The sequence below is a fragment of the Homo sapiens genome, chromosome 8 (assembly GCF_000001405.40).
Source record: "Homo sapiens chromosome 8, GRCh38.p14 Primary Assembly".
Taxonomy (NCBI): domain Eukaryota; kingdom Metazoa; phylum Chordata; class Mammalia; order Primates; family Hominidae; genus Homo; species Homo sapiens.
In genome coordinates, this window is record NC_000008.11 from 757,388 (window position 1) to 783,131 (window position 25,744).

Here is a 25,744-nt window from a genome sequence, read left to right on the forward strand (position 1 = left end):
TTCATGTGTCGGCCATGGTGCAGTTGCATGAGACTCGATTCATTTAGCACCGTGTTTTGAGGACTGTTGCTCTGAAAGTTGAATGACACCCGTAGGCACTGGGCTGATGGGATGTTCTGGTGGGTTCCTAAGCATGAGCCTTTGCTTCATTTGGGTTTTCCATTTGGACCCGGCCATACCCTCCCCTGTGTCACGTGCTGCTCACAGCAGTTGACGGATGGTGCTGGGTCACAGGCTGTGTGGTCCACAGGCGGGCTGAGGGTTGGGATCGTACGGGACCATATCTGAGATCAGATGTCTTTGAATTAAAGATTGTGTGTCTTTGATTTTCCTATTTTAGGTTCATGTTTTTAGCAGAATCTAGAGGGTGTTGAAGTTGTTCTGAAGCTGTATCCAATTCCCTGGTGCTCTGCATGAAAGTCACTGTGTAATCAAAGACTGAGTCTCCTCTCGTGTATTTTAAACAGGAATCGGGGCACGTGTAGCAGGCATTCCCAAATGCGTCTTGTCTCCTCGTTTCCCACCTCTGCGCTCATTAGTGACTGCTGGGCGGCGTGGGGCAAGTGTGTGGGGTTGAGTCCTGGTGCTGCTTGCTGCCTTTGAGCAGTGAGGACATGGCTGTGCCCTTTACTGTCCCTGCCCTGTTATTTTATCTGTGAAATGGAGATGATGGTAATTTCACCACTTACCATATGTGGCTGTTGGAAAGATCAGAATGAAAATGAGCTCACTGAAGCCTAAAAAGCAGGAGTGGCCATCCCGAGGTTCCCTCATGGCCAGGTGGACAGTGAAGCCAGGACTGATGGAGGGGCCCCTGTATTGTGAGCAATATTTCTTATTTTTGTTTCCAAAAATATTTTTTCTTCTGGCAAAAACTCGGTAGTGCCACATCTGTACTTTCTGAATAAACCTTGAAACAATCATGAAGGCCTTTCTGTAGGTAGAGGGTTACCTCGTTTCCCTGTTATTGCTTATCAGGTTGTATTTAAAAACTTAAAAATGATTTAATATTTATATATTTATAGATATTTTAAATAAAAGTAACATTTGCGTATAGTTTACAAATCAAATAGTTCAGTAGGAGCTACAATTGAAAAGCAAGAGCGTCTTGCTCCACCTCTGCCCATCCCAAGGTGCCCGGGAGAATCACCGTTAGTCACTGTTAAAGACTTCCTTTTCTGAAATTTTATTTGAGACAGGGTCTTATTCTGTTGCCCAGGCTGGAGTGCAGTGGTGCAGTCATGACTCACTGCAGCTTCAACCACCTGGGCTCAGGTGATTCTCCCACCTCAGACTCCTGAGTAGCTGGTACTACAGGTGTGCACCACCACACCTGGCTAATTTTTGTATTTTTTGTAGAAATGTGGTCTTGCCATTTTGTCCAGGCTGGTCCTGAACTCCTGGGCTCAAGTGATCTACCCGCCTCAGCTCCCGAAGTGCTGAGATTACAGATGTGAGTCACCATGCCCGGCCAAGACTATTTTTCAAAGAGTTTTAGATACACAGCAAAATTGAGCAGAAGGCACAGAGAGTTCCTATCTAACCACTACCCTCCCCAACAGCCTTCCCATTATCAATAACCCCCACAACCTTCCCATTATCAATACCCCCAACAGCCTTCCCATTATCAATACCCCTGACAGCCTTCCCATTATCAATACCCCCCACAACCTTCCCATTATCAATACCCCCCACAGCCTTCCTGTTATCAATACCCCCGACAGCCTTCCCATTATCAATACCCCTGACAGCTTTCCCATTATCAATACCCCCCACAGCCTTCCCGTTATCAATACCCCCGACAGCCTTCCCATTATCAATACCCCCCACAGCCTTCCTGTTATCAATACCCGCAACAGCCTCCCTGTTGTCAATACCCCCCACAGCCTCCCCATTATCAATACCCCCCACAGCCTCCCCATTATCAATACTGCCTGAGTGGTGTGTCTGCCACAGTGGATGGACCCACACTGATGCGTCATTGCCGTGTGGAGTCCATGGTTGACGTGGCTCCCCCTGGGCTGCACGTTTCCAGGGTTGGGACACGTTCCCGGGGTTGGGACGGGTATGCACAGGTGTGTGACCAGCACTCCGGAGTCCACGGTTGACGTGGGGCTCCCTCCTGGGCTGCACATTCCTGGGGTTGGGACGGGTGTGCACAGGTGTGTGTCCAGCACTCCAGAGTCCACGGTTGATGTGGGGCTCCCCCCTGGGCTGCACGTTCCCGGGACTGGGACGGGTGTGCATAGGTCTGAGTCCAGCACTCCGGTGTCCCCCAGGGCGGTTTCCCCATGTGACTCCCTGCGACTGGTTCCTGTGTGTAGCTCTGTGGGGATGACTTACACGCCCCTGATGTATCTACTCTAGACATTAAGTATTTACTACCTCTTCCCCTCTCTCGATAGAATTGAAACGTTGCTTTTAGTTCTTCCTTTGCTAACTCATTAACTTTAAACGATAAATTGCACCTTAATTTCTTGCTCTGTCAACTCTAGGCAGTGTCAGTTGACAGCCCAGCTTGCCGTGGAGAGATGCCAGCAGCTCCACGCTTACTTCTCATTTCGCTTCCACCACCCAGCAATTGTCAGGGTTGAGACCATTGAGAGTCTGTTTAGTAATCAGAGTTAATTTTGGTGCTTTTTTGTATAAGCCGAACATTGCAAATACATCTCTGTGTCCACCTTATGCTGACATTTTCCCTGCAGAGCTGACTGCTGCACACTGACGGTTTTCTTTCTTGTCCTTCCTGGAATTTCTGTGGCTTCTTCTTCTCTTGCATTTCCATCTTTATTCCTCTGAAAGGCATTCCAGAGGCCCAAGGGATGACACAGGCTTTTCAGTGTGACGCCTCCTGTCTCCTCCCTTGCTGCCTGATCTGCGGGGGTTTCTTTCCTGAAGTCTTCACTGTGACCTTCAGAATCAACTTCTCTTTAGGCCTGAATGCAGCCCTGTCCTTTCTAACCCTTTCATCTCTCTCCTGGTTAGACCGATTGTTTCTGAAATTTCTCATGTTTTTCTGTCCTTATTTCCACCTTCATTTTGTTGATGTCCGTCTTCAAATAATTTCCTAAAGTTTCTCATCTTGCCTGTCCAAAACTCTACCCTCATATATTTGAAAGTTTGGTTGGGTATAGAATTCTGACAGCAAAATAATTTTGCCTAAGAATTTTGAGGGCATTTTCCTTTCCTGAGTTTGTCGGCTTTAACTCAGTGTTGTTGCTGGGAAGCCTGATTTTTGTCCCTTTGCTGAAACTGACTCCTGCTCTCATGGCATAGTTTCTTCTCTTTATCCTTGTGTTCTAGAAACTCACAAAGGTGTGCATGGGTGTCAGGCATGTCCCTCAGTGCAGGGCTTCGCGAGCGCCTCCGATTGGGAGTTGCACGCATGCACCTGCTGCTTCCACAGGTGCTCGGCAGCGTCCCCCCACCCCTCCCACTTGCTCTCCTGTTGCTGGGGTTTGCTCTTCTCCTCAGGGTGCCTGCACCGAGAGCCACCATGCTGCGGGAGACCCTAATTCCCAGATCTTAGGTCTCAAATCAATTTTTGAGAGGAAGAATATTCCAATTTTGCGAGTGGGTGGTAGTTTCCAGGCTCATGGGCATTTTGATCGGGGGACATATGAGGACTGGCAGCTGACATGGTCGGTCCTGGCTAGCATCGAGTGTTTGCCTGTGCCGGGCGCCGTTCTGAACCATTCGCTCTCTGCACGTCGCTTGTGTCCCTTTCGTCTCTGCCCGGAGTGACCAGGCCTGGGTGTCTCAATCCTGGCTTGGGGGGCCAGGCCCCTTCTCTGCTCCCCCCCACTTTACTTTCTCCTCTGCTCCCTTCCTCTCCAGTTCCCAGTGAATTGGTAGAACCTGCTGGTCTTCCACCCACGCCTTCCATCTCTGTGGATTTCTTTCTTTCTGAACTCCTTTACTGTCACTCACTGGGGGTTTGAAGGAAGAGGAGGCACATCCATACAGTTCCTCAACCACCTCGAATCGGGAGCAGACTGCAGTTCTATTGCATCACGGATTTTGGCTTGAAATGTAGTATAACTCTCTAACGTTATTCACGTAATAATGGCCGGGCCTTCTGTAAGATTGTAGTTTTTTATATCTACATGGCGTTGCTTTTAAACAAAAATCTGTGGATTTTACAATTTCACAAGTGGACGTGTGGCTGAAAGGCCAGTGTGGGGGATCCTGGCCGGGATGGGCACTGGGTCCCCTCCATGCACCCTTAGGGAACATCTTCTTTCATGTTTGAAAGCAGAGACATCAGCAACCATGGAGTGAGAATCATTCCCGTGTGTCAGGCACTCCTGGAACCCTTCCTAGAAGACGGCCCGAAACGCGGAGCCAGCTCCCTCTATCCCTGAAATGAGTGCCTGAGGAAGAGCCTGAGGTCGCGCTGTCCTCACCCCTCTGTCCCGGGCTAGCTTCTTGCACCAGCTGTCCAGCCTGGCGTGCGACACCCTGCGGAGGAGGCCCTGGAGAGGGGATGGGGAAACGTTGGCCTCAAGACTGAGAAAGTGAACGCCCCTGAAGGCTGGATGAGGATGCTTCTGAAGCAGGAGATTTTCGCTTGTTTTTAAGAAAACCCGAGGAGGAACTGATGAACCCGCCTCGGGTGCAGCATCCAGAATATTTACGATGATAGGTCGCTGTGGGTTTTGGCGTATATCTTCCAGGCAGTCAAAGGCTGTGCTATGTAACTGTCACAGAACTCCTGTGTGTCTCTTTGTGAGCAAAGTTTCTCATGCTCACGTCTAGAAAAACAAAACATAATCCTAGAAGTAATGCTTGGCCCAATTAGTCCAACAGAAACTAATATTCATCCGTGGGAGAAAAAGCCCACTCTTACCATGAAGTGGTAGCAGTTTACTTTTTATGTGCAACTTATTACCAACGATATGGAATATCTTTGTCAAACTCTTGGGACCTCATGGTCACAGGGTGTTTTAAAATGTAAATTGTATTTGCATATACGTCTTTGTTGCAGAGAAGTATAACATGATGGATGAGAACTTTCAAGCATGTAATAGGTTATTTTGGGATGAAATCTTTGGCTCAAATGGAGTGGAATTAAGAGGTGAAACAGAGTAAAAGTAACAGTGTCAAATTTGTTCACGTATTTAAGAGAAACCATTCCGAGTCGCCACTTTGCTGACTCCCAGGGGTCACCCCCTGCTTTGCAGAGCTCTTCTGCTTGCCACCTGGGCAGCCCTACCACGGCAGCCACCCAGTGAGTATGACTCTTGAGGTCCACTGAATACATTTAAAGGAAGAAGGTGACAGTTTGGTTGATTGATTGAAGGAGACAGGGTCTCACTCTAGCCCAGGCTGGAGTGCGGTGGCACAGTCACCACAATCACAGCTCACTGCAGCCTCACCCTCCTGGGCTGCAGTGATCCTCCCCGTCAGCCTCCGGAGTAACTGGGATCACAGGTACACACCACTACACCAGGCTAGCTTTTGAATTTTTTGTAGATACAGAGTTTCACCATATTGCTCAGGCTGGTCTCCTACTCCTGGGCTCAAGCAGTCACTCACCTCGGCCTCCCAAAGTGCTGGGATTACAGGCGTGAGCCACTGCGCCCAGCTGACGGTTTTATTTAAATGTCCAGTAATGACAGTGGAGTAGGAATTAAGTCACTTGCAATACTTCACGAGTTATTCAAAGAGGGATTGGAGAAAAAAAAAAAGGGAAGACGACTAGTTTAGGGAATCTGGAATCCAGAAATCTGGTGGGTTTAGGAGTGCAGGGACGAAGCTGAGCCCAGGCTGACCGTGCCCTGGAAGGAGCACGGCGTTGTGGAGACATGGACTATCAGCAGCGCAGCCGGGATGAGGACTGGGGTTAACCCGCACTTCCCTTCGCGTGCTACTGCTGTATTTATTGAGAAGGTTGCTTGTTAAGGACGCACATCGTATTGAAGTGAAGATCACTGTTACTGTTGTCACTCATCTTCTTGCATATCAAGATAAAGAGCCCTCCATGGTTATCAGAAAAACTGCTTGAATCTGAAGGGGGAGCTTCACTGTTGCTGCCGTGCTCTTCTGCTGTTAGAAGTTGTTAAAGGAGGAGAACTTATCAATGGCATCTTGAATGGGATTTTGTTCCATAATTCGCACTTCTAAGACCATTCCTCATAGAATTTGCTCGAAAGGGTCTGTTGAGAATAAGAGAGTTGGAGTGACAATTTATGATGGAAACACATGATGAGTGGCAGACGTTAGGCAGGTGAGCAGATGGTGGTGGTCGGTGGCGACCCAGAGAGGCAGTGCTGGCTGAGGAGAGGGCAGCACACCTCACCGGGGACTCGGTGTGTCCTTCGTCTCAAAGACAATACGTGTGTCCTGAGTGCAAGGCACTGAACACACATGAGGTGTGGAAAACCCGATACTTGGTGGTAGAATTTAAAAAAAATGAAAAGAATGAGGCAAACGATGAAATAGAAAATCCTTCTAACTGCAGTCTTGACTCATAGCTGATGATTTCCTTATTTAAAACAGTATTTAGAATTAAACAGAAAGTGACGGCCTCATAAAGTGAAACCAATTGGTGTTTGGAGGGCCAGGGCCTTTACTGTGTTTGGCTGAGCTTCCGGCTTTTAATTGGAAATTTTCATTTTTAAGAGTCTAGTTTGTTCCAATAGGGTGTGTATGTCTTAAGACTTCCTAACCTGTAACCACATTTAGTTTTTGTGGTTTAAATAGACTGGCGAGGTACTGAGTCATGCCTCTCCCTCCTGAAGGCATGACATGCTGTCTGAATTGGGCCAGGGCTCAGCACCGTGCCGCAGCTGCCACTCATCCTGCCTCATTTTGGCAATGAAGAGTCACAGGCGTGGATTTAGACTGGAAGGCTTCTCACTACCCAGAGGTGAGGAAGTGTGGGGTACAACATTTTTATTCAAGTTTCCATCTAGAGAAATTGCTTCTATCACAAATCTTTTTAAACCTTTACTCGGTAATTTTCTCACTTCCTATGAACTACTCCATCCATCCGAGAGAAGAAATGAGATCAAAACTTACATAAACGCCTATTATATACTTTGTCACTTCGCTGTTTAAAAAAGAACTATCATTTTCTTTTAAAACCCATCAATGTGTCTTCTGACAGGATAACAAGTAGGAAATACCTGTGGTGGAGCCCACAGACTCTGTGGCTGATTTTGTGGTCTAGCCTTGTCACCCGAGTCCAAGCTCTTCTCAGTTTTATTGTTAGGTAATAAAAAATCACCCTCATGTTATTGATCAGTTATTTTTCTAATTAGATACATCAGTAACCTCTACCGTAAGTACCATAAAACTGGCCCCATCACACACCTTGTGGTTGTAGTAGAGGAATGACTTGTGCCGTCTTCTAAGCTGTTGTGTAAGGGGCTCATAACTTGCAGGTTCTCTCATAGGTATAACTGTGACCTAAGCAAAAAAGCAGTCTATTCTAAATACTAGCCACAGAACTTTAAAAAAATTTGTACCAAAATTTACCTATAAATCCAGATGTTTCATATCTAACCTACTCAAAGCAAAATGAAGATTCAAGGAGAAAAATGAATGATTCCTCAGCAACCAGAATAGATTCAATAAAGCTTGTGGCTGTTACTGATATAAATTGACAGTGACTAGTGGTAGTGAGCAAATTTTATTGAAAAGTTTGAATTGGCATTTAGAACGTATTTAGTAAAATTGGAGTATTGCAGAAAGGGACTTGAGGAAATGGGGCAGCTACAGTGGGTGGGGTGCCCGTCTCCACGCCCAGGTTTCAGGATGAGTTTCTCTGCTGTTATCTGTTTTTATATTGGAGTTTTTCCATATGAGTTTATTTAAAAGATAACTTTATTACAAAAAAACCCTAATATGAGCTATAAGATTTTCAAGGGCTGTTCTAGGGGTAAAATGATCTGATAATGTATCAATGTTAAATACTGTATTTGGTAAAATATTTTTTTTCTTTAGTGTGCAGGTAGTTTTTTAATAATATCCTTAAACCTGTTATGCGGTGGATAGAAAACAACAAATTCTTTGTCAGGAGTCTAACAGTGTTAGTGCCATATGTTGGTGGAGATCATTTTTGTTGACTTGTGCTGGAACCAAAATAATTATTAATTGCCAGATACGTGGCATTTGACCTGACTCAAATGACATTGGAATACAGCAGCCCTTGGGGCAGGCAAATGTCAGTCCAGTTTATATTGAAAACAGCACCCCAAAATGGTCCTGAAACAACAGTGACCCTAGGGAAAAAATTAATTTTTGTATAATATAAACAAGGGTCACGTTTGGGACCTCTAAGACTCTATGGAGTTTCCTCTATGGTCAGCAACATGGTGCCTTCACCTCGTTGCTCTGCCGTCCTTGATGTCTGTCTTTCCCACTGTGGCACATGTGTGTACACACATGCATGTACACAGACACACACACACGCGATGATGCACACACAAATGCACAAACACACCCCCACACACATGCAACCACACACAGGTGCACACAAACATACCCACATATGGCCGGGTGCGGTGGCTCACGCCTGTAATCCCAGTACTTTGGGAGGCTGATGCAGACACATCACAAGGTCGGGAATTCGAGACCAGTCTGACCAAAATGGTGAAACCCAGTCTCTACTAAAAATACAAAAATCAGCTGGGCGTGGTGGCATGTACCTGTAATCTCAGCTACTTGGGAGGCTGAGGCAGGAGAATTGCTTGAACCCGGGAAGCGGAGGTTGTAGTGAGTCGAGATTGTGCCATTACACTCCAGCCTGAGTGACAGAGCGAGACTCTGTCTCAAAAAAACAAAAAACAAGAAACAAAACCAATCCACACAACTCACATACATGCAATCACACACAGCTGCACATACGTGCACATATGCACACACACCCTAGGTGTGGGGTACATAACATCTGCCCCAAACCCTTTCCCAGTCAGCTCGTCACCCTGCGGTGTGGCTGCACACCCCTTGTTGGTCAACCCTCGTGTGTGTTCAAGTCACACCTATGCTGGAGGCCATCCTTCCTCTATGTGAGCTGCAGCGTTCTTTGAAATTCGTCACATAAATCTTTCTAATGTCCTCCGGAATTGAACTCTGGGGTGACCCAAATTAGTGCAGCAAATATATTGTGATATAGATGAATTACAGCTGGTGCCTCTGCCTTTATCAATGTGTCCGGCGTTATTGGCTGTCGGAGTGAGAGCCAGATCTCATTCCACCAGCATTTCTCTCTGGGCAAGCACGCACATGCATGATACTTGGAGTGATCATGTCCGTTGACCAGTGGGCACCGTGCAGTCTCACAGAGGATGGTTTTCATTCTTTGAAAAGCAGCTTTTGTTTTACCAGAGTCAATCACCAAAGAACTAAGCTGTCCTGTCAACACTGCCAGCGTCAGACAGTTTAGCAGATGCAGTCCAGATGGACACTGTGTCCATCCTGAGGCTCGGCCAAAAGTGGTCTAAGAGCTGCTTATTCTTGGGCTGTGTTTTCTAGTTCCTTGGGTGGATGGGCGGCCTAGACTTGTAACATGTGAAGACCCGGGTGGGCAACAGTGAGGGGACATCCAAGGCCATGACTCAGCAGGAGCACAGCTTCCTCCTCCTGCGGTGCACTGGCGTCAGGCGCCCATGAGATGGGAAAGCCAGGCTCTGAGATTCTGGATGACGAAGATCCTCAAGCACTGTAACTTCTAGGAAAGGAAGTTAGATCCAGGGTGCCATCCCCGGGGTGCATCTCCTCTTTTGAGGTTGGTGTCCTGGTTATGAGCCGTGTGTTTCTGCTGGGGCCACATCCACGGCTCCGCTTCTTCCTGGATCCTTGTGGTCCTGCATGATGGACCTTCCACTCTTGCTAGCAAGGAAATAAAAACACAGGAACACCAGCCTGGTGAGCCACAGTTGTGGGAGGAAGTCAAGCAGTTCAAGGATGCCCAAAGGCACAGGTACAGGTGTTGCTGGCTACTGGCTGTTGACTGTTTTTTTTTTTTTTTTTTTTGAGACAGAGTTTCGGTCTGTCGCCCATTCTGGAGTGCAATGGTGCCATCTTGACTCGGTCTTGGCTCACTGCAAGCTCTGCCTCCCAGGTTCAAGCGATTCTCGTGCCTCAGTGGGTAGCTGGGATTAGAGGCACCTGGCACCCTGCCCGGCTAATTTTTGTATTTTTAGTAGAGACGGGGTTTCACCATGTTGGCCAGGCTGGTCTCGAACTCCTGACCTCGTGATCCACGTGCCTTGGCCTCCCAAAGTGCTGGGATTACAGGTACGAGCCACCACGCCAGGACGGCTGTTTAATTGTTTAAGGTACAAGGAGTTTGTGCATCAATCTTTAGGGTTGAGACATTATATTTCTACGGAGGTAGTGAGAATATTTGAGACACAGGCTGCTATCTGCAGCTGCAGCAGAGCTTTGGGGTGAGCACTCTTGGTAAGTGGTTTAGAATTAGCAACTGATAGCAAGGTTTTTATCAAATTCAGTAAACTTGACCCTCAGGGAGAAGTTTCTTGCAGTAGAGGGCTTCATTTGTGCCAGTGATGACACAATAATCTCTTGAGATGGACATTTAAGCTGTTTTTTACAATGTAAGAAGTAACCAAAGACATTAACTCAGAAAAGCAACACTTCTCTGATGTATAATTTAGAGGGACATGGTGGAGTGAAGGAAGATGTGCATTCTCTTTCAGCTCTCTAGTGTTTTCCCCACTTCCCGTGGGCTTTGGGAGTGTAATCAGAGGACAGGGAGATACAGGTCCCCTCACTCATTGTCCAGTTGGGTTTGAAATAAAAAGCAAGCTGGAGCCCGTTCACTGCAGCGTCTGAGGGAGGCCGGGGAGGCACTGCCACATGCTGGTCAGACAGGCATGTGGTAGCTGAGCCCTGCCTTTTGTTAGCATCTCCTCCTTATTCCTGAACCACTTCTAAGAGTAGTGTTGTGGTTATTTACTATACAGTCACTCAGACAAATTACTCAAATAACTGTTATTTCAGTTAAGCTTTTCGCTGTGGGCTTGTATGGACTTCAGCATGAACCAGGAGGGAAGGCGTTGATTTTTTTTTTTTTTTTTTTTTTTCTGACATGAATCTTGCTCTGTCTCCCAGGCTGGAGTGCAGTGGTGTGATCTTGGCTCACTGCAACCTCCACCTCCTGGGTTCAAGTGATTCTCCTGCCTCAGCCTCCCGAGTACCTGGGACTACAGGCGCTTGCCACCATGCCCGGCTAATTTTTTGTATTTTTAGTAGAGATGGGGTTTCACCATGTTAGCCAGGATGGTCTTGACCTCCTGACCTCATGATCTGCCCGCCTCGGCCTCCCAAAGTGCTGGGATTACAGATGGCGCTGATAATCTTGGTCTTGACTCTGATTGAGCCCACACCTCCTGGTGCACTCCAGCATCAAAAAACACTTAAAAATGGTGCGCTTCCATCGGAAAACCTAACATTTAAAATTGGCATGCTTTAAAAATATGAAATTCATTGGCTACTTACATCATTTCATGTGTCTGGGGTCAGGAGAACGCAGTCTGTGTGGGGCTGAGGACGCTGGCCTCACAGGAGGCTGGCTCTGGTCTGAACCTTGGGCGTCCGCAGCCTGTGTGAGGGGGCATATCCTTATCCCTCATGGCTGCAGCTTCCCAGAGGTGGGTGACACCAAGGGATTGTTTCGAGTATTAGGTGAGACAGTGCGTGCATGGTCAGGTGTGGTCCCGCACAAGCAGGTGGTCTGTCAGACTAGCAATAGTGAGTGTGAGCAGCTCGGATCTCTAGAGAAAGAAAATCAGCTCAGAAACCTTTTGAGGTTAATAAATAATGATAAACAGAAGCATTTCATCCCGAGGGGCAATCTGAAAGTTAAGAGACTAAGACATGAAGGCACATGGAGTGCTTGCAGTCTTGGGTCTCAGCAGGGAAGAAGTATTGTTCTCTTGAGTTTCCACTTGGATATCCAGCAGAAAAACGCTAACAAGAACTTGTTTAAAGGTGATTGTCAGTGTGGTCAGTTGTGAAGTGGGATGCCCCATAACAAGCAAAACGGCGGCAGACAGGAAGCATAGCCATTAACCCCGAATACAGGAAAAAGGGACAAACTATTTAGAAAAATGAAACAATAGAGAATCCCCATGTAATTTTCCCTTTTAGTGTTGCTCCTTTTTAAAAAATCATGAGAAATCTTTCAGAAAGTTTGGGAAGGAACAGAGAAGTAAACTGGGCTAATTTATTGATTCAAAATTTTGATGAGTTACAGACATCTGTGGTGACGTGTTGGGATTTGAGTGGCTCAGGTGATGCTTATGTGTTTGCACATCCTAGACGGTAGCTTGGGTTAGGGGCAACAGAGACACTCATTTCTACTCCCCTTCCTCCTAGGGACACGAGCCTCTTGCGTTCCCTGGGATTCTTCCCATTAAAAATGACAACTCAATGGGAACAGAAGCCACATTGTATGCATCCACAGGCCCCTAGAGCAGCCTCCACGGACATGTTACGGAAAACATGAAAGATGGAGTCAGAAGCCATGAAAATGGACCACGGCTGAGCTGACTGGCTTCAGCAGCTGCGGGGGTCATGCCGACCCCAGAGTCACTTGTGCAGCTCTACACAGGAGGGTTTTCTTCCTGTTCACAATTATGAAACATTGAGGGAGAGATAGCTTTAAGTACGAATAATAGTAAGAACTTACATGCATGCATCGTTTTCCTACCATACCTTCAAGACATTTTCTAGATGATCTTATCACAGGTTTTGTACGTTTTTATAAAGAAGAAACATACATTATCCCTATTTATTCAGATTCATTTGCACAGCACAGTGTTGCTACAATTTGCCTGGAGTTGTGGAGTTAGTGAGGGGCTGCGGAATGCTCATCTCGTCAGGGGTGAGGGAGAGTGCGTGCGTGGCGTGCGTGGCTCAGAGGGAGGATGGAGGTGTGAGGGAGGCCTTGCTCCTCCTCCGTGTCCTCCGCCTCCCACCCTGGGGAGCACAGTGCCCTTCTGGGTTATTTAATCACAGGTCCATGCTATGCCAGTTTGTCTGTGACTTAAGACTTTCTGACTGATGACCAAAGACTTTTTTTCTTATAGAAATTGAATTTTGAGACTGAAGATACATGTTGTTCACTGCAGGAAGCCATATGTTCCTCAGCTTTACAGGGCTGCCAATCCCCCGCCTCCTCTCAGCTGATTTCTGTAATTCACTTGGTGTCTCCTTGGCAGTTTCTGTGGGCTCCGAACAATTTCTAAGCATGCACCTCTGTCCTGTTTGGCCGAGGAAGATTCGGTGGCGTCTCTCCTTCGTGCTGACCTCCTGCTTCTGGCTGTGGGATGTGATTGCTGGGCCGGCTGTGGAACAGGTTCAGGGGGTTATGCTTGCATTGTGAGCCCCTGAGCTGTAAAATCCTGGGGCAGGCATCACACAGTTATATACTGACCTGTATTTCTGTTGTCCTTGATAAGACATGAATGACATTTAACTCATAAACCTAATTTTGGTTTAGAAATTATGCCTCTTTTTTTTTTTTAAAGTAGAAGGACTCTTAGGGATGGAAAAAATTTTTCACTTTTCTGTAGGGCAGGTTGATGTGGTCTTCTTAGTGTAAACAGGGGTCTTTAAAATATTACTGCTAGATGTTTTTATGATGATTTTGGAAGTGTGAGTGTCCTATTCTCCAGACAGGTGCCTTCCAGCTCCATTTCTCCATTTCGTGAAGTTGTGACAGGTCCCTTGGTCCTCCTGTGCTGGGGTCAGAATCAAGTAGTGATTGTAAAATTACCTAATTTATGTCAGTGATTGCTAACATTTCCATAAACTCTAAACACTTAATCATGCATATTGCTACTTTCTGTCCACATCTACTTGCAAATGTCCTTAAGAATTTTGTGCAAATGCTCAAAACTAAGAGATATGAGTTTTAATGCAAACGTGCTGTGCAGAGGCATTTTGTAAAAGGATCGAGGGACCTCTGTGAATGCTTAGATTTAAATACGTTTCATAGAGTTATTAGGTAGATCTCCCTTATTAAGTAGAGAAAAACACTTTCAGAAACACATTTTGATTTTCCTAAAAGGGTTTTATCCTCTTTATCCAAAATCCTGGGCCTGCACTAGCCGGGTCTAAGGCAGGCCGGCTAGCTCTGTCACTAAGTACTTGCTACTTAATTGTTTCACACCCAAAATTTGTGGATTGCCAGGGCAACTTTCAGTTCCAAATTAAAAGGCTGTCTGTACTAGTCCAACCCAGGTGGTTTAGTTAAGAGTAATGGTCACGAGAGTGGCAACCCCTACCTTGCTACCCAGAGACGCATTGAACACGACGTGGCCTCTGGGGCTCTGCCCCACTGTTAGGTGAAAATATTTATCCTCAGAAGCTCCTTTATTTTAAAATGACTTTGTTTAAAAAGTTATGGAAGTAATTTACACTAACCATAAAAATTGAAGTGGCACATATAGAATAAACAATGGAAAGGGCAGTGTGGAGCGTGTCCTTCTAAACTGATTGTGTCTGGTGGGGACAGAATTCTAGGCTCATCTGCAATTTTATTTCATTTTATTTTTTTAGAGACAGGTTCTCTCTCTGTCTCCAGGCTGGAGTGCAGTGGCACCATCATAGCTCACTATAGCCTCCAACTCCTGGACTCAAGCGATCCTCTTGCCTCAGCCTCTCGAGTAGCTGGGACTAAGGCATGCACCACTATGCCTGGCTAATTTTCTATTTTTTGTAGAGACAAGGTCTTGCTCTGTTGCCCAGGCTGCTCTTGACCTCCTGGGCTGAAGCGATTCTCCTGCCTCAGCCTCCCAAAGTGCAGGGATTACAGGCATCAGCCACTGTGCCCAGCCTCATCTGTAATTTTAAATTTTCTAGTAGCCATATTGAAAAAGTAAAAACAGGCAAAATCATGTTTAATAATATATTATTTAAACCATCGTGTTTAAAATGTCATCTCATAATCATTATATTAATATTAATAATTTTTTTTGAGACAGAGTCTTGCTCTGTTGCCGAGGCTGGAGTGCAGTGGCATGATCTCTGCTCACTGCAAGCTCCGCCTCCCAGGTTCAAGTGATGCCCCAGCTGCAACCTCCTGAGTAGCTGGGACTACAGGCACACACCACCGTGTCTGGCTAATTTTTGTATTTTTAGTAGAGACGGGGTTTCACCATGTTGGCCAGGCTTGTCTCAAACTCCTCGCCTCAGGTGGTCTGCCTGCCTCGGCCTCCCAAAGTGCTGGGACTACAGGCATGAGCCACTGCACACTGCCTTAATAGAGTATTTTACTGTCTTTTCTTTGGTACTAAGTCTTCAAACTCTGAAAAGTATTTGAGACACTTGCAGCCCATCTCGACTGGACAGGCAACGTTACAGGTGTTTGAGAGGGATGTGGGGTCATGGCGCCCTGGCTCCAGCACAGTGCCACACATGGCTTCTTGTGGCATGCATGGAATTAAGTGCTCTGCAAATCACTTCTTCCGCTGAACGGTGTACATCAGAGGGTTTTGTGTGTATGTGTAGGCAGAGCTTCCTAATTCCTCTGGGTGGTGGTGTTAGAGCTAGAGTACATGGAATGCACCCCAGATGCATTGAGCCATCAGCACACACACTCCATGCAGGACCTTCCAGATTGTTCTCTGTAACAGTAGGATGGCATGGACACACTTGTTTATGCTGGGTGGAGGAGTGCCCAGGCCATTGCTGACAGATCTGTTGAGCTGCTTGGCTGCTGTAACCAAGCCCTGGAGCCTGGGAGGCCTGAACAGCAGAAACTCATCTTCTCACAGCTCTGGAGGCTGTGAATCCCCAGTCAATGCGTCAGCAGGGCTGGTTTCTGCAAAGGCCTCTTTCTTTGGTGGGCAGACAGCTGATTTCTCACAGTGTTTTCACATGGTCTCTGGTGTCTTTACAAGGGCACTAATCCTATTGGATCAGGGCCCCATCCTCATAATCTCATTTTACCTTAATCACTTCTTTTTTTTTTTTTAAGTTTATTTTCCTTTTATTATTATACTTTAAGTTTTAGGGTACATGTGCACATTGTGCAGGTTAGTTACATATGTATACATGTGCCATGCTGGTGCGCTGCACTCACTAACTCGTCATCTAGCATTAGGTATATCGCCCAGTGCTATCCCTCCCCCCTCCCCCCACTCCACAACAGTCCCCAGAGTGTGATATTCCCCTTCCTGTGTCCATGTGATCTCATTGTTCAATTCCCACCTATGAGTGAGAATATGCGGTGTTTGGTTTTTTGTTCTTGCGATAGTTTACTGAGAATGATGATTTCCAATTTCATCCATGTCCCTACAAAGGACATGAACTCATCATTTTTTATGGCTGCATAGTATTCCATGGTGTATATATGCCACATTTTCTTAATCCAGTCTATCATTGTTGGACATTTGGGTTGGTTCCAAGGCTTTGCTATTGTGAATAATACCACAATAAACATACATGTGCATGTGTCTTTATAGCAGCATGATTTATAGTCCTTTGGGTATATACCCAGTAATGGGATGGCTGGGTCAAATGGTATTTCTAGTTCTAGATCCCAGAGGAATCGCCACACTGACTTCCACAATGGTTGAACTAGTTTACAGTCCCACTAACAGTGTAAAAGTGTTCCTATTTCTCCACATCCTCTCCAGCACCTGTTGTTTCCTCACTTTTTAATGATTGCCATTCTAACTGGTGTGAGATGGTGTCTCATTGTGGTTTTGATTTGCATTTCTCTGATGGCCAGTGACGATGAGCATTTTTTCATGTGTTTTTTGGCTGCATAAATGTCTTCTTTTGAGAAGTGTCTGTTCATGTCCTTCACCTACTTTTTGATGAGGTTGTTTGTTTTTTTCTTGTAAATTTGTTTGAGTTCATTGTAGATTCTGGATATTAGCCCTTTGTCAGACGAGTAGGTTGCGAAAATTTTCTCCCATTTTGTGAGTTGCCTGTTCACTCTGATGGTAGTTTCTTTTGCTGTGCAGAAGCTCTTTAGTTTAATTAGATCCCATTTGTCAATTTTGGCTTTTGTTGCCATTGCTTTTGGCGTTTTAGACATGAAGTCCTTGCCTATGCCTATGTCCTGAATGGCAATGCCTAGGTTTTCTTCTAGGGTTTTTATGGTTTTAGGTCTAACGTTTAAGTCTTTAATCCATCTTGAATTGATTTTTGTATAAGGTGTAAGGAAGGGATCCAGTTTCAGCTTTCTACATATGGCTAGCCAGTTTTCCCAGCACCATTTATTAAATAGGGAATCCTTTCCCCATTGCTTGTTTTTCTCAGGTTTGTCAAAGATCAGATAGTTGTAGATGTGCGGCATTATTTCTGAGGGCTCTGTTCTGTTCCATTGATCTATATCTCTGTTTTGGTAGCAGTACCATGCTGTTTTGGTTACTGTAGCCTTGTAGTATAGTTTGAAGTCAGGTAGTGTGATGCCTCCAGCTTTGTTCTTTTGGCTTAGGATTGACTTGGCGATGCGGGCTCTTTTTTGGTTCCATATGAACTTTAAAGTAGTTTTTTCCAATTCTGTGAAGAAAGGCATTGGTAGCTTGATGGGGATGGCATTGAATCTGTAAATTACCTTGGGCAGTATGGCCATTTTCACGATATTGATTCTTCCTACCCATGAGCATGGAATGTTCTTCCATTTGTTTGTATCCTCTTTTATTTCTTTGAGCAGTGGTTTGTAGTTCTCCTCGAAGAGGTCCTTCTCGTCCCTTGTAAGTTGGATTCCTAGGTATTTTATTCTCTTTGAAGCAATTGTGAATGGGAGTTCACTCATGATTTGGCTCTGTGTTTGTCTGTTATTGGTGTATAAGAATGCTTGTGATTTTTGTACATTGATTTTGTATCCTGAGACTTTGCTGAAGTTGCTTATCAGCTTAAGGAGATTTTGGGCTGAGACAATGGGGTTTTCTAGATATACAATGATGTCGTCTGCAAAGAGGGACAATTTGACTTCCTCTTTTCCTAATTGAATACCCTTTATTTCCTTCTCCTGCCTAATTGCCCTGGCCAGAACTTCCAACACTGTGTTGAATAGGAGTGGTGAGAGAGGGCATCCCTGTCTTGTGCCAGTTTTCAAAGGGAATGCTTCCAGTTTTTGCCCATTCAGTATGATATTGGCTGTGGGTTTGTCATAGATAGCTCTTATTATTTTGAGATACGTCCCATCAATACCTAATTTATTGAGAGTTTTTAGCATGAAGCGTTGTTGAATTTTGTCAAAGGCCTTTTCTGCATCTATTAAGATAATCATGTGGTTTTTGTCTTTGGTTCTGTTTATATGCTGGATTACATTTATTGATTTGCGTATATTGAACCAGCCTTGCATCCCAGGGATGAAGCCCACTTGATCATGGTGGATAAGCTTTTTGATGTGCTGCTGGATTCGTTTTGCCAGTATTTTATTGAGGATTTTTGCATCAATGTTCATCAAGGATATTGGTCTAAAATTCTCTTTTTTGGTTGTGTCTCTGCCAGGCTTTGGTATCAGAATGATGCTGGCCTCATAAAATGAGTTAGGGAGGATTCCCTCTTTTTCTATTGATTGGAATAGTTTCAGAAGGAATGGTACCAGTTCCTCCTTGTACCTCTGGTAGAATTCGGCTGTGAATCCGTCTGGTCCTGGACTCTTTTTGGTTGGTAAGCTATTGATTATTGCCACAATTTCAGATCCTGTTATTGGTCTATTCAGAGATTCAGCTTCTTCCTGGTTTAGTCTTGGGAGAGTGTATGTGTTGAGGAATTTATCCATTTCTTCTAGATTTTCTAGTTTATTTGCATAGAGGTGTTTGTAGTATTCTCTGATGGTAGTTTGTATTTCTGTGGGATTGGTGGTGATATCCCCTTTATCATTTTTTATTGCGTCTATTTGATTCTTCTCTCTTTTTTTCTTTATTAGTCTTGCTAGCGGTCTATCAATTTTGTTGATCCTTTCAAGAAACCAGCTCCTGGATTCATTAATTTTTTGAAGGGTTTTTTGTGTCTCTATTTCCTTCAGTTCTGCTCTGATTTTAGTTATTTCTTGCCTTCTGCTAGCTTTTGAATGTGTTTGCTCTTGCTTTTCTAGTTCTTTGAATTGTGATGTTAGGGTGTCAATTTTGGATCTTTCCTGCTTTCTCTTGTGGGCATTTAGTGCTATAAATTTACCTCTACACACTGCTTTGAATGCGTCCCAGAGATTCTGGTATGTTTTGTCTTTGTTCTCTTGGTTTCAAAGAACATCTTTATTTCTGCCTTCATTTCGTTATGTACCCAGTAGTCCTTCAGGAGCAGGTTGTTCAGTTTCCATGTAGCTGAGCGGTTTTGAGTGAGATTCTTAATCCTGACTTCTAGTTTGATTGCACTGTGGTCTGAGAGATAGTTTCTTATAATTTCTGTTCTTTTACATGTGCTGAGGAGAGCTTTACTTCCAAGTATGTGGTCAGTTTTGGAATAGGTGTGGTGTGGTGCTGAAAAAAATGTATATTCTGTTGATTTGGGGTGGAGAGTTCTGTAGATGTCTATTAGGTCCACTTGTTGCAGAGCTGAGTTCAATTCCTGGGTATCCTTGTTGACTTTCTGTCTCGTTGATCTGTCTAATGTTGACAGTGGGGTGTTAAAATCTCCCATTATTAATATGTGGGAGTCTAAGTCTCTTTGTAGGTCACTCAGGACTTGCTTTATGAATCTTGGTGCTCCTGTATTGGGTGCATATATATTTAGGATAGTTAGCTCTTCTTGTTGAATTGATCCCTTTACCATTATGTAATGGCCTTCTTTGTCTCTTTTGATCTTTGTTTGTTTCAAGTCTGCTTTATCAGAGACTAGGATTGCAACCCCTGCCTTTTTTTGTTTTCCATTTGCTTGGTAGATCTTCCTCCATCCTTTTATTTTGAGCCTATGTGTGTCTCTGCACGTGAGATGGGTTTCCTGAATACAGCACACTGATGGGTCTTGACTCTTTATCCAATTTGCCAGTCTGTGTCTTTTAATTGGAGCATTTAGTCCATTTACATTTAAAGTTAATATTGTTATGTGTGAATTTGATCCTGTCATCATGATGTTAGCTGTTTATTTTGCTCGTTAGTTGATGCAGTTTCTTCCTAGTCTCGATGGTCTTTACATTTTGGCATGATTTTGCAGTGGCTGGTACCAGTTGTTCCTTTCCATGTTTAGCGCTTCCTTCAGGAGCTCTTTTAGGGCAGGCCTGGTGGTGACAAAATCTCTCAGCATTTGCTTGTCTGTAAAGTATTTTATTTCTCCTTCACTTAGGAAGCTTAGTTTGGCTGGATATGAAATTCTGGGTTGAAAATTCTTTTCTTTGAGAATGTTGAATATTGGCCCCCACTCTCTTCTGGCTTGTAGGGTTTCTGCCGAGAGATCCGCTGTTAGTCTGATGGGCTTCCCTTTGAGGGTAACCCGACCTTTCTCTCTGGCTGCCCTTAACATTTTTTCCTTCGTTTTGACTTTGGTGAATCTGACAGTTATGTGTCTTGGAGTTGCTCTTCTCGAGGAGTATCTTTGTGGCGTCTCTGTGTTTCCTGAATCTGAACGTCGGCCTGCCTTGCTAGATTGGGGAAGTTCTCCTGAGTAATATCCTGCAGAGTGTTTTCCAACTTGGTTCCATTCTCCCCATCACTTTCAGGTACACCAATCAGACGTAGATTTGGTCTTTTCACGTAGTCCCATATTTCTTGGAGGCTTTGCTCATTTCTTTTTATTCTTCTCTGAACTTCCCTTCTCGTTTCATTTCTTTCATTTCATCTTCCACCGCTGATACCCTTTCTTCCAGTTGATCGCATCGGCTCCTGAGGCTTCTGCATTCTTCACGTAGTTCTTGAGCCTTGGTTTTCAGCTCCATCAGCTCCTTTAAGCACTTCTCTGTATTGGTTATTCTAGTTATACATTCTTCTAAATTTTTTTCAAAGTTTTCAACTTCTTTACCTTTGGTTTGCGTGTCCTCTCGTAGCTCAGAGTAATTTGATCGTCTGAAGCCTTCTTCTCTCAGCTCGTCAAAGTCATTCTCCGTCCAGCTTTGTTCCGTTGCTGGTGAGGAACTGCGTTCCGTTGGAGGAGGAGAGGCGCTCTGCTTTTTAGAGTTTCCAGTTTTTCTCTTCTGTTTTTTCCCCATCTTTGTGGTTTTATCTACTTTTGGTCTTTGATGATGGTGATATACAGATGGGTTTTCAGTGTGGATGTCCTTTCTGTTTGTTAGTTTTCCTCCTAACGGACAGGACCCTCAGCTGCAGGTCTTTTGGAGTACCCTGCCCTGTGTCAGTGTACCCCTGTTGGGGGGTGCCTCCCAGTTAGGCTGCTCAGGGGTCAGGGGTCAGGCACCCACTTGAGGAGGCAGTCTGCCCCTTCTCAGATCTCCAGCTGCGTACTGGGAGAACCACTGCTCTCTTCAAAGCTGTCAGACAGGGACATTTAAGTCTGCAGAGGTTACTGCTGTCTTTTTGTTTGTTTGTGCCCTGCCCCCAGAAGTGGAGCCTACAGAGGCAGGCAGGCCTCCTTGAGCTGTGGTGGGCTCCACCCAGTTCGAGCTTCCCGGCTGCTTTGTTTACCTAAGCAAGCCTGGGCAATGGTGGGCGCCCCTCCCCCAGCCTCGCTGCCACCTTGCAGTTTGATCTCAGACTGCTGTGCTAGCAATCAGCGAGACTCCGTGGGGTAGGACCCTCTGAGCCAGGTGCAGGATATAATCTTGTGGTGTGCCTTTTTTCAAGCCCGTCAGAAAAGCGCAGTATGCGGGTGGGAGTGACCCGATTTTCCAGGTGCCGTCCGTCACCCCTTTCTTTGACTAGGAAAGGGAACTCCCTGACGCCTTGCGCTTCCCGAGTGAGGCAATGCCTCGCCCTGCTTCGGCTCGCGCATGGTGCGCGCACCCACTGACCTGTGCCCACTCTCTGGCCCTCCCTAGTGAGATGAACCTGGTACCTCAGATGGAAATGCAGAAATCACCCGTCTTCTGCCTTGCTCATGCTGGGAGCTGTAGACTGGAGCTGTTCCTATTCGGCCATCTTGGCTCCTCCCCTGTGAATCACTTCTTTATTCCAAATGCACCTACACTGGGGGCTCAACACAGTTCAGTCCAGAGCATGCTTTTCTCTTCTTTTCTTTTCCCTTCTTTCTTTCTTTTTTTTTTTTTTCAGACAGGGTCTTGCTCTGTCGCCCAGGCTGGAGTGCAGTGGTGCCATCATAGTTCACTGCAGCGTCTGCCTCCTGGGCTCAAGTGATCTTCCCACCTCAGTCTCCCAAAGTGTGGGGATTACAGGCATAAGCCACCATGCCTAGCCTAATAGCATTATTTTCTGAGAAGGTGGTAGTGACTTAATGTTTTCTGGTTTCTAGAACTTTCTTCTACCACTGTTAGCCATCCAAATCTTTGCCTTCTCTCAAGCAGACACTAACAGGGAATATCTGTAGCAGGGCCACATTTCTCTGTGTCATTTGCAGAGTTCATTGCATAGTCTTCCAGTCTTGCCTGCATTCCTTTTTTATATTTTATTTTTAAAATTTAATTATAAATTTATATTTTATTTTAAATTGACAAATAATCACTGTATACTTATGGAGTACAGTGTGATGTTTTGATCTATGTATACACTGGGGAAAGAGTCAAGCTAGCTAACTGACATACCTGTCACCTCACCAACTTACCATTTTTTCTTTTTAGTGAAAACATTAAAATTCTATTCTAGAGATTTTGAAATGTTTGAATTATTATTAGCTGTGTTTGCCATGCAATGCAGTGATCACTAAGCCTTAGTCTAAACTTTGTACCCTTTGACCTACATCTGCCCTTTCCTCATCCCCGCCAACCCCACCTACCAGCCTGGCCCTCACTGTTCTACTCTGTTTCCATGGGGTTCACTTTTTCAGATTCCACATATCCGTGAGATCATGAGGCATCTGTCTTTATGTGCCTGGCTTTTTTCACTCAGCATAATGTCTTCCAGGCTCATTCACATTGTCATTAATAACAGGATTTCTTTTTCTTTTAAAGCCAACTGGCATTCCACTGTGCACACACCACGTTTTCCTTATTCATCCATTGACAGACACGTAGGTTGATTCCATATCTTGTCCATTGTGAGTAGTGACTGTGCAGTGACCATAGTGGTACAGACATCTCAACGTAGTGATCTCACACCCAGAAGTGGGATTGCTGGGTCTTGTGCTAGCTCTACTTTGGTTTTTCAGGGAGGCTCTGCACAGTTTTCCACAGCATTTCACTAATTTACCTTCCCGTCAGTGGTGAACGTGAGTCCCCTTCACCCATATCCTCAGCCACATTTACCGTTGCTCCTTTTGAAAATATCCGCTCTAGTCACATGCTGGTTAGCTCAGTCTGCAGGGCAGGAGGCTCTTGTGGCAATTTGGAAACTCACAGCACATTGTCATTAACCAGAGTCGCCGTGTCTGGCAGATGTCCAAACCTGTTCCTGCCGCCTCACCAAAGGCTGGTGCCCTGTGGCCAGGTTTGGTCCTTCCGCCTTCCCCACACCCCCTTTTTATTCCTTTTCCAAGGATCCAAAGGAATCCCCCTGTACCAGAGTAGCAATTATTGAGGACATCAAAAAAGTATACCAAGATATATTTGCTTGTGCTAGGGTTTTGTGCAAGGGAACTAGCATCTGGCAATGAATTACATTTCTCTCCATGAGGTTGTATAGTACCTTATGATTTTCAATGCATTTTGTAGCTTTGTTTCAGCCCAGGCATGAAAATATGTATAGATAACCCCTTTTTTTGGTTTTTATTATTGACTGATCTTTATTCCCTTAAGAGTAAGTCGTGCATCTGTTAAGAATTTGTAGTCTTTTTTTGTATTAAAACTTCATACTTATTGTTAGTAAGGACTATATTGCTCGGGATGGTATACCTGATAGTGCCAAATTTATAAGCATCATCAGATGTTAAAACTTTGTGTTGAAAATTTTTGCTTATGTTTTCTCTATTATTTAAATGACGTTAAGTTTTTTCTTACTATTTCTTGAACTTCTTAATAATGAGGTTTGATTCCTAAAGCTATTCATGGAAGGGTTAGGAACATCACAGAAAATAATCGATAAGACCTCAGGGATTTTTTTTTTGTTGCTATTTTAATTGCTTAAAATGCAAACCTGAATGCAAATATGAAAGCATTTTGAGACTTGCTACAACTGTGATTAACTGCTGTAATTAACTTTTAGTGTGACAGCCCTCTCAAAAGTGGGGTGTTGCCCAAGTACCGCATTAAACCTATGAATGACTGCAGATTACAGGGGTGGTGGGGAGCGCTGAGCCCATTAACACAAGAGGACAAAGAAGTTCGTTGTGACACGGTGATTTGGCTGAACATTTAAATGACTTGTTAAAGAACGAACTTACTTCTTAGAGTCACACAAAGCACATGAAAAATTTGTCTAAGGGCCCATGTCATTGTTGCTATGGGAACTACAACTTCATTTCCTGACATAGGTTTGTTAGAGTTTTTTTGCAACAACAATTATATAACCTAATGTTTGTGCTATAATTTTTTGTTTCTTTTGTGAAAAAGGAGAAGTTGAGTGCATTTAGGAGATAGGATAATACCACTGCTATTCAAAACTGGGAGCTGGGGGGATGGAGAGAGGCTGATTAATGGGTAGAAATGTACAGTTAAAAGGAAAGAGAAAACCTGGTGTTCAATCAACCAGCAGGATGACTACCATTAACATTAATTGATTGTACATTTCAAAATACCTGGAAGAGAAAAATTTGAATGTTTCTAGCATAAAGAAAAGATGAATGAGGTGAAAGATATCCCAGTTATCCTGATTTTATTATATGAATGTAACAAATTATTGTGTGCACCTCCCAGATATGCACATTTATTATGTTTCAATAAAAAGGTATAAAAGTTAGAGCTTTAAAAAAAATTAAAAAAAAAACAGAAGAGAGGGGATTGTCCTACTCATTAGAATTCCATAGATAACCTCTAATAACTGGTAGTATCTTGATAGAATTTTAGCTTGATTTTTTTAAAAAAATCATGTAAAACTTAAGACTGTCTCTGGAATTGATGACATATTATATTAATACATACTCTCTCACTAGGCCATCAATTATGAATACCTAAATATTATAATGTTAGATATTCCATGCCATTTCATGTGGATCAGTATTTTAAGTTTAGCCATCCTCAATTATTTGCCAATCTCTACATGTCAATATTTGATGAAATATGTTAATTATTGACAAAATAGTAAGAATTGAAAAGCAAATGGGGGTTAAATTATTGCTATGGCAGATTCAAATCAATGTGAAGAGACCTGAAGGCAGAGTTTATGTGTCAAGGCAGTTGAGGGCCCCCACCCCTGAACACTGATTTTATCACCTGTTTTTCTCTACTCATCCCTTTTGCACTCTTTCTTTACAACTAGTTAATTCATGAGGGTTTGTTGTCTGCCAATCCCATTCCTACCTCAGAATGCCTTGAAAAGCAGAAATACCACTCACTGAGACCTCGTCTCCCTGTTGGCCCTCTTCCGCGTCTGCTGTGTCCTCAGTTGTCAGGTGACAGAAGAAGAACCAACCCCCAAATCACAATACTCTGTTAGGGCTCAGAAACAGTGCGTGGCTGTGCTGACTGACCCGGGAAAGCTGGATTAGGATGGACGGCTGTGTCTGCAGCACTTCGTGAGATTAACCAGTGACCGCATGACCGCATGATAACATAAAGCTGATGCAATTGACTAAAGTTACAACAAAGATTCTGCCTTTTCTAGGACATCATCTCACAATGACAGATAATGTGACCAACACAAGGTCTGTA

At 44.5% G+C, this 25,744-nt stretch overlaps 1 protein-coding gene across 2 annotated transcripts in view, besides 1 other annotated feature; it reads left to right on the top strand.

The window, feature by feature from the left end:
• The window catches only part of DLGAP2 (DLG associated protein 2), a 970,849-nt gene that overhangs the window by 19,760 nt on the left and 925,345 nt on the right, over positions 1-25,744 (top strand). The window lies entirely within an intron of this gene.
• Positions 21,139-21,703: an enhancer, noted in NCBI's record as "H3K27ac-H3K4me1 hESC enhancer chr8:728526-729090 (GRCh37/hg19 assembly coordinates)". NCBI's record gives its function as "activates a minimal SCP1, AML or CMV promoter by ChIP-STARR-seq in naive H9 embryonic stem cells {active_cell/tissue: H9 hESC(naive)}" and the evidence as "EXISTENCE:reporter gene assay evidence [ECO:0000049][PMID:30033119]".